The 17,549-nt window shown below is 35.5% G+C and overlaps 2 long non-coding RNA genes across 3 annotated transcripts in view; one reads left to right on the top strand and one right to left on the bottom strand.

Moving 5' to 3' along the window:
• Positions 1 to 17,549, bottom strand: part of LINC00333 (long intergenic non-protein coding RNA 333) — a 466,167-nt gene that overhangs the window by 61,880 nt on the left and 386,738 nt on the right. The gene's annotated exons all lie outside the window — the stretch shown is intronic.
• LOC105370289 (uncharacterized) overlaps positions 1 to 17,549 on the top strand; it is a 159,166-nt gene that overhangs the window by 26,129 nt on the left and 115,488 nt on the right. The window contains exons 2-5 of one of the 2 annotated variants that reach the window (XR_942134.1): positions 4,026 to 4,146; positions 4,793 to 4,865; positions 6,237 to 6,283; positions 6,380 to 6,410. This is a non-coding gene — a long non-coding RNA (uncharacterized LOC105370289). Of the gene's footprint in view, positions 1 to 4,025; positions 4,147 to 4,792; positions 4,866 to 6,236; positions 6,284 to 6,376; positions 6,411 to 17,549 lie in introns of both variants that reach the window. The other variant, XR_942133.1, reaches the window with a different exon arrangement.

Below are 17,549 nucleotides of genomic sequence, written 5' to 3'. Positions count from 1 at the left end.
AGGGGGGAGGTAGGCAGGATAGACTGTACTGTCCTGTTTTAGCAGCTTCATTTCTATAGTTGATCCATAGGTTTCCTTCAGTCTCACAAATGAGACTCACTTCCTGCTGTTTTCTGTGTTGTCATTTGTCATTTTTATTATGTGATGGTGCTTCAGGGGCTATCAGAAACAAAGAAATGGGTCCCTTTTATGCTTATCTCTGTTCAGACCTAATTGTCTTTTATTTTTTAATTTAAAAGCAGAGTCGGAAGATGGTTATTTCAACTGATTTTTTCTGCATACTTTACTCCGGCTGGTATCTCTTAAGATTTACTGCTTTAATTAATTATAGTTTAGACATCATGAAATTATTTAGAGTCAAAAGCAAGCCTGATTGTCTTTGGAACTTTGATAACGGGAAACTACTGAAATATGATGAGGGGGGTGTGTGTGTGTCTGTGTGTGTGTGTTTACCTATATAATAAATATATGTTATGTAGCATATTTACATAATTATATGTATAGTTTATAAAACTACGAAATATAGTTTATGCCAAAGGCTGAGTTTATCTTTTTTTTATTTTAATCTGTCTCTTGAGGAGCATTTAAAATGTGCTAGCAGGTTGTATAAAAGACATAAGAAGTGAAGCTATTTCATGAACTCCTAACACATAGCTCGGTGATGTCTTTTTTCTGCAAGCCAACCTTCAATAAATCACCACGTCAGAGAGTATGCGGGCACTTAAGATCTGATTTCCAGGCCTGGCAAGTGTAAAGGCAATGCTGGAGGGTAATTCCCTCCTCCTATTTCAATGATTCTGAAGCCCTGACAGTACATGGTGGATGCAAAGACCTTTCATGCTAATGAGCTTGCTGTTCTGATTTCTGTCATCACAGACTATTTTTATATGACAATAAATTAACCTAGATGAGTAGATATTTAATTATTTAGAAATTAAAAGAATAAAAACATCTTCCTGTTTTACGTAAAAAAAGGAGTTTTTTCTCAGTGCAAGTTGTGTATGGTACATTTTTCTGATTTCTACTAAAAAGATGAGCCATAAATACTGGCATGTAACTCCCGGTAAAATAAGAAAAACACTATTTTTAAGTTATGCTTTTCTCTGAAAGGACATTTCCAATTAACGTTCCTACCTGCAATAAAGATAGGCTCTAGAGTTGTAACTGTAGTAATGACATTGTAGTCAAGATTTGACTTGACCTATAAACTACAAAAAAGCAAAAGAATAGGAAAACAAATGGTACCTTCCTTTTTCTTGTCTTTTTTTTCCTGTCTCTTTCTTCCCTTTTCCATCATTCTCTCTCTGCCTTTCTTTTTCTTTCTTTCTTTCAAAGAAAGTTGCAGTTATGTCTATTTTTAATGGTGACCTACAACTATATTTTCTTAGAGATATATAAAATTTAATGGTAGTGAATTTTATTAAAAAACTTGCTGATAGCATTAACATTTAATTATATTTTATAGTTATTTTATTTAGGAAATAATTTTTGATCTTCACTCTTACCTTATGATATGGTTTGCCTGTGTCCCCACCCAAATCTCATCTTGAGTTTTAGCTCCCATAATCCCCATGTCATGGGAGGGACCCGGTGGGAAGTAATGGAATTATGGGGGCAGATTTTTCCCATGGTGTTCTCATGACAGTGAATAAGTCTCATGAGATGTGATGGTTGTATAAAGGGACGTTCCCCTGCACATGCTCTCTTGCCTACTGCCATGTAAGACATGCCTTTGTTCCTCCTTGGCCTTCTGCAATGATTGTGAGACCTCCCCAGCTATGTAGAATGGTGAGTCCATTAAACTTCTTTTTCTTTATAAATTACTTAGTCTTTGGTAGTTCTTATAACAGCATGAGAATGGACTAATACATCTTAATTCCAAAAAACTGGTTATAAATCTATTGAGCAACTGAAAAAACAAAAACCACACAATAGTACACAATATCATCATTTCTATAAATTTCTATAAAAGTATAACTCCAAAATAATTGGTAAACTGTTTTCAATATTACTAAATAAGATTAATAAATATAAATATAAAAACAAAATTTTAAAAATATTGACATCTAGTAAAATTAAGCAACTTTTATATGAAGACTAATTACAATCACTATATGACTGAAATTTGACTAATTTTATTATTACAAAACTTTCTAAAAGTACTTAATAAGTTTAGAACACTGTTTGTTACATGTAGACAATATATTTTATAATTTGTATGAATTGTGTTATATAAGAAAGCTATTCTTAAAACTCACATGTCACTTACATGTCAAAGAAGATGGAGTAAGTATATCTGTCTCTATTCCTTGCACTAAGTGCAACTAAAAGCCCTGGAAATCACATATAAGTCAAGCGTAAGTGGACTCTAAAAGGCAAATAGAGAAAGGAAGATCATTTAGGGACTTTGGGACCCAAGGAATGACATGATAGTGTGTTCTCTCAATTTTCTTTTAGCTTCATAAATTCTGAACTTGAAGCTGAACAAACTGACCACCCCAAACTGCCCATAGGTCTGCACAACAAAAGCCCCAACAAAAGCCCCAACAAAAGCCTGCTATCTCTAGACAAAGGACCAGGAAAAAGAACAACTTAGCAAGACAGAAAACCTTCAGAAAATTACTGCTCTTTGCCTGCCTGAAAACACAGGAAAACAACAACAAAACTGGTTTCTCACCCACCCACATCAGCAAAAGTCTAGTGGGAAACCCAGATTTCCTAGGCTGTAATGAGTAACCTCAACATCCCACCACAGTGGTGTTAGACAAAGTGCATAGGGATCTGAGGTTTTTATACCTGCCAGGGGTCAACAGGTACTCACACCCTCTGATATCTGTAAACTAAAAACAGAATTCTAAGCCTGTCAGTTGACTGAATGGACCCCTCCTCTCAGTCAAGGCCATTCCAAAGTAAACCTGAAAAACTAGTGCATCCATGATGGGAAGAGGGGTGTCAGACATGTCTCATTATACCCGACTCCCTTTGGAATTAAGGCACAACTGACCAGCATTACATTAAAACAGAGATCTTAAGAGTGACAAAAAGACTCTTTACCACAATAAAATACCTAACTCTAACCGACTCTAATATAGCATCACATGGCAGATAGCCAGCCCTAAAAGAAATCAAAGTATTCACCCCAAAATATATTTCATTGATATATTTGAAATGGCCCTGCAAAGCTGCCACTTCTGGAGAAAATCTATATTCTGCAGAGAATCCTCCTCTCTTTCCAGGTCTTTTTGTGACACAGGAGAGATTTAACTGGCTTGCACCTTTTAGAGTCTGATAAGAGACATTTATTGTCTATTCTCTCTGAAGCCAGCTACCTGAAGGCTTCATCTACACAATAAGAACCTGGGTCTCCAGAGCCCTTTACCTTAACCCAGAAACTCCTTTCTATCGATTCCAGATATTTAGATAGTAACTTCACTCTATCAACCAATTGCCAATCAGAAATTTTTGAATCCACCTCTAACCTGGAAGTCCCTCAACTCTGAATTTTCCTGCCTCTTCAGGCCAAACCAATGTGCACCTAACATATATCAATTGATGACCACCTGTAATTTCTGTCCCCCTAAAATGTATAAAATCAAGTTGTAACCCAACCACGTTGGGCACATGTTCTCAGGGCCTACTGAGGTTGTGCTTTGGGCCGTGATCACTCACATTTGGTTCAGAATAAACTTTTTAAAGTATTTTACTAGAATAAAGAACTGGAATCAGGACTTTTGTGATCTTCTAGTGACAGACAGGTCACCCCCAGTGCAATGTTACAGAAAACCACATGGGAGGCTAGAATGCTCTGAGTTCCCCCAAAAGCAATCCTTCCCTCAGTTATCAAAGGAGGATAAGTGGAGAACCTGGACTTTTACCTCTACCTGTCAGAGAAGTGGGTACCTCTGCCTGTCCTTCCCCTGCCAGAGTGTTGTCAAGAGAGCCACTTAAGACAGAAAATTTAAATAAGATCATATTTTAAATATGTAAATATCCAGGTTTTAATCAATCATTTCTGTCATTCCCAGAACCTGCAAGATCTCAAACTGAATATACAAAAAGACAGTCTATGGATGTCAATACTGAGATAACAGAGAAGCTAAAGTTATCTGAAGCAAAATGTAAAACAATCATGATAAAACTGATGAAGTGAGTAATTATGAACAGATTTGAAACAATTGCAAAACTAGCCCCAGTAAAAAGAAAACATGAAGGTGAAACAAGTGGAAATTTTGAAACTGAAACATACAATAATCAAAATTTTAAAAAATCTAGGAATGGACTCAACAGCAGAATAGAGGAAACAGGGCAAAAAAATCAGTCAACTTGAAAATGGAATAATAGAAATTATCCAACTTGAATGACATAGAAAAATAGACTAAATATATGAATGAACAGACCATCAGGGTACTGTGGGAATCCAGCAAAAGACCTCACATTCAGGCCATAAAATTCCATGCCTTGGTATTTCATTCCTTTTTGGATATCTTTTTATGCTCTAACACCAAGAGCATATTGAATTAGATTAGCCAAAGTCTTGAAACTCCTGTGAAATATTTTTAAATACCCTGTTTCTAAACCTAAAATTTTGGCATAGTAAAAAAATGTTACTTTAGGTTTTCACTTTGCCAAAACACACATTTTTGTATTCTGATCCAAGAACTTCCCCTGAGCCCAACAGTCTATCTTGGTAAAAATAATGTAGTTCAATTCGGTACAACAGATGTTTATTAAGTACCCACAAAGGGCCAGGTTCTGATCCACTCTATTATCATGTGTTGTTCTTCTTTCCTAGGATGGCCTTTTCTGGTCCGCCTGGTAAACTCCTATTCTTCCTTCAGATTCAGCCCAAATCAGTCTTCAGTAATGTGAGTTCCTTCAGCTTGACATATTGTTTACTTGTCAATAAATTTGTATGGTACTCAACACATCATGCACTGATTTTTGCCCTTGTGACTGAACTGTGTATTCCTAGAGGTTAGGACACTGTCTTTTCATCCTTGTTACTCCAGTTGCATTGAAATCTCCTTTATCACGAAATGTGTTCGGTAATTTCCTGTTGCATAAATAAATGAATTCATGTATTCAGCTATGCTTCTGATATTTTTAAATACCGACTGCCTGCTAGGCAGAGTAATGGACCCAGGTATACATGGTGAATGAATGATGTTACTCCTTGTATTGAAGATTGCAAACTGTAGCAGAGATGACATATCATTGGAATACAGAATTAACTGTAATAGAAAAGTTGTTGAAAGGTTTTAAGAATAAGAATTATCTTGTTCTTATTCTAATTTACATCCAAACTTAAGGTATCCTTTAGAAACATGTTAGGTTTTAAGTAATAAAGAACAGTGCCTTTAACACATAAGAATTCAATTTTCTCTTATCCTAAGAATTACAAAGAGAGGACGTTCAGAGCTATTGCCTGTGTTCAACAAAGTTTAAAAATATCACTGTCCTTCAGTCCTCTTCTGTTGTTTCCAACATGTGACTTTCATCTTCATGCTCACATGATCGCTGCCACATATTTCACCTTATATTTGTTACACAGACAAGAAGATAAAATCAAAATAAGGGAGCATAAAAGGCAAAAAAAAACTGAAGAGAAATTTCCTTACAATATTTTCTAACACAGCTACTCATTGTATTTCAATGGCTAGAACAGGGTCACAAGTCAACCCTGAGATACAAATTAGTCTGAAAAGATATTTAGGCTTAATCTGTAATAACAGAGGAAGAAAATGGGGGAAAAAAGGGTAATAAATGACTTTTGGGTAAATATTCCACTTTTAAAAAATTTCATTGGCTATCATAGTTGAAAATTGTAGTGACTAATGGGCAAAAAATGGTCAATATATTAAAATCAACATAGACAGTTATTTTATTAACTATGGAAAGAAAAAAAATTGTCCGTGTCTCTGATAGTTATTTAGAAGAGTACTTGAAAGGTATTTTTCAAAAAATATATTTTTAAGATATGGCCTTAAAACCACCAGAAACTTTTATTTCTATTATTTTAAACAAATAAGAAAAAAAGTTTCTAAATTATTTATGCTATAATATGAAAGTTCATAAAGATGAAGATTTTTGTAATGAAATTATATAATTTTATAATAGTTCTGAACTTTTTTTTCAAGTGCTCTTTCTGTCTATAATACAGTACACTGAAAGTGAACAGTCTTTGGTAGCACTATCTTTAAACCCTCAACGTTGCAAAACTCTCCATATTCCCACAGAATTCTCACTTACTGGACTTGGCGCTTGACTGAGAGAGTGAGGCAGAGTAAGTCTATATATACATGTTGGGAAGGATACTTCTTTCATTTTGGGTAAAGTAGAATTGAATAGCTTTTTTGTTTGTTTATTTCATCCAAAGCAGATGACTTTGGACCGTACTGGTGAAAAATAAGGTAAGATTCTTGAATTTCAAATTTTCATAGATGTGTTTTAAAGAGCACTACAGTAGGTATTATTTATAATAATCAACACCTTTATAGGATGTGATATCCTAGAAGGTAAATTTCTTTGAAACTTCATTGAAAGGTAACGTCATAACCATTGGATTTCAAATTCAAAATTTGGAACTGGGGCCAAATCCTTTCTGATATTACTTCCCTTTCTCACTATTTCTCAGTTTTCTATACCAATATACTGCAACTCAAAGAAACTACTTAAAATTTCTCACTTATAAAGAGTACTTGGAACAGGTCCATGTTATAGTAGCTTTATGTTACAACTTGTTTCAACAGGTTATACTTTTAATGCAAATTTAATACAGGATGCATTCAGCTACATGCTTTCTTCTTCAAAAGAATGTTTCACTTTAGGATTTTGGAATCATACTCAGATGACATCTTCTTTTAAATAGTTGCTTTCCATTTTTGTGGAATTTTTTTAACCTAGGATATTAAACTAATTTTGTACACACTAGTCGAATCTCACCATTTTTTAAAAATATTAAGGTCTAATCTACTTAATTACACATGTTTTTTCATACCTCTGTTTGATTTTATCCTCAAGTAGAATTTCCTATTCAAAAATGGATCTAACTTGATAACATACCTTTCTCATAATGAATAACTAATATACATTGTTAGCACATTCATTGTGATTATTTCTTTAATTACTAAAGGTATATTTCCTGCTTTTTAGTTATTAATTGATTAGTATGATGACGAAACAGTTGGAGAAGGGTATTTTTTTTTCCCTAGAAGAAGAGCATGTGTCTTGAGAATATGACTATTTCTGAAGACCACAGATTTATTTGTTTTCTTGAAATAATGCTTACAATACTAGGAATGTGGCAATTATCAATAGCTATTGAACTAAAATTCCATGTCCTTTCATGTAATAATACCAACATATTAAATAAATAAATAAATAAATAAAAATGACTTATCAAGGTTTATATGCCTTTCCTTTAAAATATTATATTTCTGTTTTTAATAAAAATTTTGAAAATACATTTAGATATTCTTAAACATAGATTTGATATTATCCTTTTGGTGGAAGAATGTGATCTTGCAGAGACTTTGTAAATGACCCTCCAGGGGCTTGTACATTACTCACAAATTTTAGGTTGCACTTTGTCTGTGTGGTCAGTAAGACTGAAACTTGTGCAATTAGAGCAAATATTTAATCATATTAGGATTTATTTTAGCAATAAGTCATCCTTGCCAGTTATTTATACATGTTGAAGGTTAGTGCAACAAATCACCTTTGCTTCTACTCTGTGTCAAACACTTTGCCTCAGAAATAAGAAAGTATAGATCATTATAAATCTGACTCTGTGATAGTGCTTGGCACATTAATTAATGTAATTCCGGTTCCTGCATCACATCTTTAACCACCTCTGTGCAGTCACAGAAGCATATATCAGAAAAAAGGTGCTATTGTTGTCATTTTTTATTCACATTTCTTTTCTCTCTCATTTTTTTAACTTGTGTTTCAGTACTTTTTACCTTGAACACAGCACAACGTAGAAGATAACTGGTTTGATGTAGTACCAGGGAGACTTTACCCCAATGAAAATGTGTGCTCTGTCAAGGGATTAACTGCGAGGTCCACCCAGGTTATTTTTTTTTCATTAATTAATTAAAAACCAAATTTATTTAAAACTATATACCCTAATATGTAGGGTATTTTTACCTTGCTTAGTGATAAGGAATTACAAAGATAAAAAGAAGAATATGAACAACCCAGCTCTCAAAAACCTTATATTGTGTCTTAATGGCGTCTCACCAACATTTCTATAGCTTTGACTGTCTACTGGAGTATGTTAAGCTTGTTTTCTCATTTCACAAGTAATCCCCTTTTGATGAACAAATACTCAAAAATAGTTTCCTGTCAACTTTCTTTTTTTTAGCTAATCTTACTATATATTCAATACTAACAGACACTGCTTATGTGCTTTACATAATTATTATTTAATTCTCTGAAAAACTCTATCAAGAAAGTGCTTGTTGTCTACATTTTATAAAGAATAAAATTGTGACTTCAATGGATGAAGCAACTTGTCTGAGGTCCTGCACCTGGTATCTCACTCTACAATCACATGGACAAAGTTTTCAGACCCCAATGCCAAATTTGTAGGATGGAGGCAAAATATTTAATAACAATTTCTTTTCTCTTTAAGTAAATTTCTTTGACCAAATCGATTTCCAAATTGCTAGTACTAAACAGGGAATAGGGTTACTTTTCAACTGTCTACAACATTTACCTGTCACTAATTTTTCAACTACATAATGTAATAGAGTTCTTGAAAACAATCTTAGGAGGCAGGTCCCACTCTTCACCATTTTCAAATGAAGACAATATGGCTGAGAAGCTCTAGACATTTTGCATAGTGTCATATAGCTGATAAGTTTTCAAGCTGAAACTGAACCCTTATTTTTTTTTAACTATTTGTTTTTCTGCTACTTCCACTGCCTACGTGTTCTTTTTGACAAATCTTGGCAAAAGAAGGCCAGTGTGCCCTACCACTCATCACACAAATTGGCTTATTCCAACAATGTATATAAACATATAAACACATTGGCACAGAAATAGGAAATGAAATGGGAATAGTTTAGGTACCTATATTTATCCAACAATAGAGAGAAGGAGAGGAATAGCAGGCGGGAGTGACAGAAGAGTAGATGAGCCAACTCCTTCTCGGGACAGCTGACTCCACAGACCAGGGCAAAACAGGGATTTGAATTCACCTAACTCTCTAGTGTTAGCCTCAGTAAAGGAATTCAGAAGCTTATTACTGGGGGTTACAAACTAGCAAAGAGATACTTTCAGCCCCTGCCAAAAGAATTATTTATTCTTTACTAAATGACATAGGCTATATAATGGCAAAGAGAATAGAAACCGGGAACTTCCTAGTTCAAAATTCAGTAACACAGGGTTTCTGAGTGAAATAAAAATGGTTTTGTTCTTTAATTAGGGCAGTTATTTAGCATGGAAAAAAGACAAAATACAATCTGCTCTCCTCCCACCTGCTTCCCACAAGCTTCATTTCCGATTATATCTTGCTCATGAATATGGTCTTTGCATGCAGTATAATTTTAGATGTGTTCCCTCACCTGGATATGCATTCCTTGCACTAGGTATTCTTTTTTTTTTTTTTTTTTTTGAGTTGGAGTCTCGCTCTGTTGCCCAGGCTGGAGTGCAGTGGCAGCAATCTCGGCTCACTGCAAGATCTGCCTCCTGGGTTCACGCCATTCTCCTGCCTCAGCCTTCCGAATAGCTGGGACTACAGGCGCCCGCCACCAGGCCGGCTAATTTTTTGTATTTTTAGTAGAGACGGGGTTTCACCGTGTTAGCCAGGACGGTCTCGATCTCCTGACCTTGTGATCCGCCCGTCTCGGCCTCCCAAAGTGCTGGGATTACAGGCATGAGCCACCGCGCCCAGCCTAGATATTGTTTAACTAGCATTTTCTGTTTCTTCAGTAACATCTAGCTCTCTGAAGTCTTTTGGTTGCTTGTCTGGCTTCACAAATAGCTAAAATTCTTGAGGGGAAGATTGTGTCTCATTAAGTTTATTGACATCAAACACAAATCCTGGTAATTGTGTAATGTAATAATGTTAAAGAACTGGATGAATTTATACCACTGGTTTTCAGAATAACAAGTTATGGTGTTTCCTTCTAGACAGCTAAAGAGAGCATATTCTGTTTCCTGTAGGACTTTGGATAAAGGGAAATTCCAACATCTTCTTGTTTCTTTCTGTTAACAAATAGGTCTGACTATCTTAAAGTGCGCTCATAACCATGTCTGCAAGAGATTGTAATTATATCAACTTGTGATGCAGCACCATAAAATTCTACATATTTAATTTGGAAATAAAATGTATTGGAATTTCTAATTTATTATACCGGTAAACGCTCTTCCTTAGATTTTATGCAACATAATAATTGTCTCAGAACTTAAAGAAATTAAAGGTAATCCAGTAATCAGTAAGAAAGGGTCATCTAGAAAATGAATACGATACATATCTAATTCTGTAGGTCTATTTGTGAAAAACCATGGTACATGCTCAAATTTTCTGTATTTGTTTCTGTAGACAAAAATACCCTAAAAAACAGCGATTTTCAAAATTTAATGTGCATACAAATCACCTGTGGATCTGGTTAAAATATAAATTTAGATTCAGTTAGTTTAGGGTGGTGCCTGAGTATCTATCTGCCTTTCCAGCAATCTCACCAGGTTCATCAAATATACATTAGAGTGTGAGACACACTGACTTGAAAAGATATTTGCATGTATGTCTAGCAACTTAAAAAAAAAAAGTGAAATATTGAGTAAAATCGCTCCTTCACACTTACCCAGTACCTATTTTGATCAAGAGATGTAACAAATTGGGGGATAAGGAGACTCTTTGGAATTAACTTGAACTACAATAATATGCAGATATATATATATATATATATATATAAATAAATAGGTATGCTTTTGAAGCCAAATGACAAGTGTAGATTCAGTGTCCTGGAAAATGATAAAGATTCTCTCCTTGACCAAACTTTAGTCGGGCTCTTCAGAGCCCAGCTAGGTCCCATCTTAGGGCATATCCCCCTAGAGCCCAACTGTAGAAAACTCCTGTTAAGTCAGTTTATCCAGAATCCCCCTCCCTCGAAATCAGATCAATATCCTCATCCTCTCAACCTGACCTACCTTCAACAAAAATCTTATTAGGCGGGTTGAATCAGAATCTCCCCAGACCCCTGATGTTTCCTCTTAGTAATTTTTCCCCATGGCCCAGCCTTTAACTATAAAATTCAATTTTATCTTATTGTATTTAGAGTTGAGCTGAATCTGTGCCCCCTACTGCAAAACCCCTCACAGCAGTCCCAGATAAAGAGTGCCTTACGTTTTGAAGAAGTGTCATGAATAATGTTTTTCTTTAACAGAAAAAAATCCCCCTGAAGCAAGAAAGTGTGGAGCTATTTAATTGGATAGATAGGGTAATTTAAGTCTGTGCAGAGAAGGGGCAACTTGTTCCAGGTGGAACAACTAGTTTCAACTTGATATAACTAGAAAATGCCTTTAAATTGTCCTAGTGAAGTGTGTACACTGGGAGAATAGAGAGCCAAATGTCCAAAAATAAATAATTACAAAATAAGATTGCTAAATATTTTTGCTATCACCTTCAGTCAAGTGAATAGCAATTGAGAAAGCTTCAGTCAACTACCCTGGCTAAACAGGAGAACAGAGTCATAAGCCTGAAATGGTTAAGAAACCTACCCAAAAGAGACCTGATCCCCTATTAGTGAGGCAGATGTGACATTTGAATAACATTAAAAATTGTGCATGTCTCTGTAATTTTAGTCCAACCATATTAGCAAGTAAACATTGTAACATATAATGTAAAACATAAAGTTACATTATTATAATACTGAGAGTTTGTTTTATATTCTGAATGTTAAAATATCTTAGGTATTTTGTGCAGCTTGCTTTTTAATATCTTAACTCTAATGTCAACTCTTTGTGGATGACAGCTATAACAATCAGATTTAAGCATGCTAAATGTTGTCATTTAAAATTTTAATGGTATAAATAATTATTATAAAATATGTTGATTTCTCATTGTCAGTGAAAATTACAATGCAATACACAGCAAGTTTTTAACTGAGTGAAAATAGTTTTAATAGTGTCAGTTTATGGCATTGCATAAGTAATTGTCTAAGCAACCAATTATATGTTTATTGGGGACACATATGGCAAAACAACTGAAAGGTTAGTGTAAAATGTTTATTTTTTTTTGAACATTTGTGTTACACTTAAATGCTGGTATTTCCAAGTTTATATTTATTAATATAGTGAGCTCCAATTGGGAATATTTTGACATTCAAGTACAACTAGAAAGTATTATATTGACTACAAAATCCAAAATGTGACACAGTTGTAAATTTTTTATGAACACATGCATCATTATACTCTACAATAATTCTTTTCTTGCAAAGTACAAGGGCACATTGAAATCCTAGGAATCACATGAAACATGCAAATGGACACAGGGTAAGACCAAAAATTACAAAATATCCCTGTTAAGTCCAATGGACCTTGAAAGAGGAGAAGGGAAGCATCTGATAGCCAATTAATGGCACTTTAGACTTCAAGAAATATCCTAAAAGTCAGAGGTATGAGGAGTAACAGGGTTCTCAGAGCCACAGTGGTATCTCAAGATACCATTTGGTCATTTGGACAAAGTGTCTACTGCTAATTACTGCTATCGTTTTATTGCTTTCATGTTCAGGTATTCTTAAACTTGTTGGCCCATTTGGTAATGCAAAGCCCTCTAAGCGTTGACTTTGTCCTCCATCCAATCCTTAGCTGCTGTGCAGTATAAAGGCAACCTTCACCTTTTTGACAAATGTATTTATAGATTATGTTTGAAATTTAAAATAACTCAGTATATGGAGCAGTGTGCGTGTGTGTATGAATTAATTTTATCCTATACCTGAGGGATTTTATGGTACATTTGTAGGACCCTAATTAAGACTACACAATTTGGAGGTAGATAATTAGCATTTGAAGGTCCTTGATTGGGGATTCAGACTTCAGAAATCTTATACAAACTCTTTATACATCATTAAGTAAATATTCAACACAAGGCTCATACTTAACATTATAAATATTAAAATGTTTTATTTGGGAAGAATAAGGGATATTCAGGATATATGGTTGTCTAAAAAGAGTGTATAGTACATTCACACATCATACAACAATTTTTCTCTCCCTCTTCTTTTTTCTTAATCAAATATTCTGATACCTGAGCCAAGTAGAAACATGGCTGGTCCTTCTATCAAGTTATAATTTTATCTGCTTTAGAGTAAACTGAGAATTTCAAAGTTCTTGTAAAAGTGCTTCAAAGAAACAATTAACACTATAAATTACATTATGTGATTTTTTTATATATACTTGGTGATAAATATTTGTATGTTTATCAGAATCCATTCTGAAGTCTACTTTCACTGTAACATGTTCCACGATAACAGGTTAGAAAGAAATTTTAAACAGCCACCATCTGTCTCTATTTACTAAAAGAACCTGACAATTGTTCACTGCAAACATTTGCTTAGATTAATACACAGCAACTCCTCTGATTGTCAATACCATATTAAATATATACATAATAAATACATCAATACATATTAACACTTAAAGCAATAACAGAACACTAAAATGTATATTTAAACAGAACACTAAAAATGTATATTTTAAGAGAAGCAATATAAGTTAGTGGTATTTACAGAAATACTGAGCCTTAAAATTAGAAGCTTCAAATACAATAAGCAAACAAATCTAAATTTCATTTTATAAAAACAACACATTGTTCAGATGATTATAATTGTAAGTAGTAAATTAATATGTATATACTTAATTACCATTCAATATTGATTATAAACCACTTGATAGTCACAATCTTTTAAATGAATTTGTACTTCAATAATTATATAGAATAATTCATGTATCTTTCTTTTTAACTTAGTATCATAAACTCAGAACACATGCACTGTCATTGTAACATGTTCCACGATGGCAGGTTAGAAAGAAATTTTATACAGCTACCATCTGTCTCTATTTACTAAAAGAGCCTGACAACTAGAGAAATGGGTGCCTTTGGCCATGTTCTGCTACAGACACTCCTGCACCAAACCCTCTGGCCTCCACGTCTCCTGGCATGCTGATCACACGGAAGATGTTTTCATCCTGTTGATGATGTTTCACCCTATTGTTGCCTACTCAATATCTAGTCTCTTCTATTTCCTCATCAGCAAAGTTTCCATTTTGTTTAGGGTAACAATGTGTCCAGTTGATAAACTGCGTTTCCCAGCCTGCTTTGCAGTTCAGGCTAGTCATGAGATAGAGTTACTGTTGATGAATATCTGCTAGGGATTTCTGGGAAATTTTGTTTTCTTGATATAAGTATCACCTTTCTCTTTGTTGCTTATTTATCCCTGTAACTATTCTGGCATGGATTGCAAATATGAAGCCACTGATGGAGCATGACCATGCAACCATAATGTTATTGAAAAAAAAAAAAGGCTCATACTCAAGATGGTCAGGCAGAAACATAGAAGGAGATTGGGATGTTGCTGATACTATAGAGCCTTAGCTGAAGCTCCAGACTGCTTGCCTTTGAATATTTGAATATTTCTTTATGTGAGGGGTCACTGGTAATAATTCTATTACTTGTAGCCAAGGAAAATCCCAAAATGCTCTAAAAATCGTGATAACTGCTTTTCATCCTATGTGTCAAAAACAAGAACAATATTAAATCACAATTCACTAGAGGACATTTCCAATAAAATATAATTTTACATACATTTACTTTAATTTTTCTAAGGAAAATACAAGCATCCATTAACTCACAGACCAATTTCCAAAGGAAGCAATTTAAAAAAATTTACCCACGATAATCTGTTTAAGGAAATTCACATTTTGGGGGCGAAAAAGAAATCAGTCATAGAGAATTAGTCTCAGTCTATATTTTGAACATCTGTATTTATTTCGTATGGGTAATCTAACTTTGAATAATACTGAGGATAATAATTGTTGATGACGATGATAAATGAAATCATAACTTTACTTTTGAATATTTATGTAACATACCATGTACTTTTACATACCAATTATATTTATACTTATAATAACTTGAGTGAAATATTTATTTTCACAATTTTACAATAAAAAATAATTGAGGCTAAGAGAAGTCAATGACTTGGTAATTATGGCTGCTATGTTGAGAGGTCAAATTTCACACATTCCCTTGTTATTCTGAATTGATTTCAATTCTGAAGTTAGACTGTTCTTTTACTTACCTTTGTTATGGTTCTAGGAACAGTTTGGAAGAGTAGTTCATGTGAGTCAGTAATAATGGAGTTAAAACAAGAGTGAAAAACATGAAAATTATAAATAAAGCTAAGACTCTGAGGGAATTGGTGAGTTGAACTGGCAAGAAGCAGCCCACTCTGACCTTAGGCCTCTGGAATCCTGACAGAATGAGACCTTTTGTCACTGCTGCTTAAGAAGTGGTAAGATAAGTGGTATTTATTTATTTATTTATTTTTAAGATAGAAATTTTCTTTTTATTAATGACCCCAATCGTATTTCTTTAGATACAGGAGTTTTGAACTCATATACATAAGAGAAAACAAATTAAGATTGTGTTATCCTGCAACTTATTACCAGTAACATATTGCAAAGTGAAACAGCTTGGAAAAGAGGGTGGGAGAAAAGGGAAGTGACGGAAGGAAGATAAAGAAAAGGAATTAAGTTGATCAAGTGGAATTCTTTTTCTTTTTTTAATTCTTGGGAACTATGAGGTCCTTGCAAGCACAGCTCATTTCTGCAGATTATTTTCCAAACATGTATGAAATGGAACCAAAACAGACTCCCTTAAGAACCTGAAAGGTGCAACATTAAAAGCTATGATTATCCAGTAGCAAGTGTTCCAGCCTTTAGTTGCCAGCTGCTTCCACCTCCTATTCCCAAGTTGGCAGGATGAAAGCATCTTCCGTGTGATCAGCATGCCAGGAGATGTGGAGGCCAGAGAGTTTGGTGCAGGAGTGTCTGTAGCAGAACATGGCCAAGAACACCCATTTCCCTAGGCTTGATTTATTCCCACAGCAGACTTTAGCCCTAGCAGAACTGTCTTACATGAATTCTGCAGGGCAATCTTGCCCATTGGACTGGGCAGTCTGACCTAAGCAGCACTTGGTCTATTGTCCTCTTCTGGGACCCCAGCTTGTCTGAACCTGTTGGCAGGGCAGCCTCAGGTGCCCTGGGACTCCGCATCATAGCTCCTAAGCAAGTGGACCATGCCTGAATGGTGGAGAAATATGGGGGTTAACCCCATGGCCACGCACCAGCCCATCTACTTGCTGCCCATATTGCAGCTTCCCACAGGCCCACAGCAACCAACCACATAGCTTTACTAGCATGTGTGTGCATGGGCAGGTTTTGCCATCCTTGCCCTACCAGTGCATGTGTGTATATGCACCTTGCTCTGCCACTGCTGAGGCAAAGTTCACTTGGAACCTATACCCCCACTAATCTGCAATGTAGTAATAGCCTTGGAAGACACACAGCCAGCCAGCCTGGCCCCACCAGTGCCCCACCCTCGCACCAACACTGCTGGAAGAGTGAAACTAGGCAGTGAGAATAGTGGATCCTCCCACACCCTGAGCAACTACCCCTACCTGTGGCACATAGAGAGCATACACAGACCCGTTCCCACCAGTTTCCTGACCTCATGATAATACCACCAGCAGCAGGACCACACACAGTCACTAGCAGAGGTTCCTTGCCCCACACGCCCATGATGCCTCTGCCACTGTGGTGAATGCCCACATAGAGGCAGGCATCCTGGTGCCCACTAATACCCTGCCACAACCAATGAGCCTGCACTCCACTGCACTGCCACTGCTGCTAGCAAGTGAGAATGAGGACAGATCCCATTGCCACCACATTGTGAAATGCTTTGGCTGACACCACCCGCAGAGTATAGTGACCAGTTGTCCAGGAGCAGCTTGGCCCCACCAGTCCAGAGGATTCTTAACCTTTGTGTGCATGTGTCTTTATAGCAGCATGATTTATAGTCCTTTGGGTATATACCCAGTAATGGGATGGCTGGGTCAAATGGTATTTCTAGTTCTAGGTCCCTGAGGAATCGCCACACTGACTTACACAATGGTTGAACTAGTTTACAGTCCCGCCAACAGTGTGAAAGTGTTCCTATTTCTCCACATCCTCTCCAGCACCTGTTGTTTCCTGACTTTTTAATGATTGCCATTCTAACTGGTGTGAGATGGTATCTCATTGTGGTTTTGATTTGCATTTCTCTGATGGCCAGTGATGATGAGCATTTTTTCATGTGTCTTTTGGCTGCATAAATGTCTTCTTTTGAGAAGTGTCTGTTCATATCCTTTGCCCACTTTTTGATGTGGTTGTTTGTTTTTTTCTTGTAAATTTGTTTGAGTTCATTGTAGATTCTGGATATTAGCCCTTTGTCAGATAAGTAGGTTGCAAAAATTTTCTCCCATTTTGTAGGTTGCCTGTTC

Source organism: Homo sapiens, chromosome 13 (genome assembly GCF_000001405.40).
Source record: "Homo sapiens chromosome 13, GRCh38.p14 Primary Assembly".
Lineage (NCBI taxonomy): Eukaryota > Metazoa > Chordata > Mammalia > Primates > Hominidae > Homo > Homo sapiens.
Note: the sequence above shows the minus strand (reverse complement) of the source record. Positions and strands in the feature narration are given on the sequence as shown.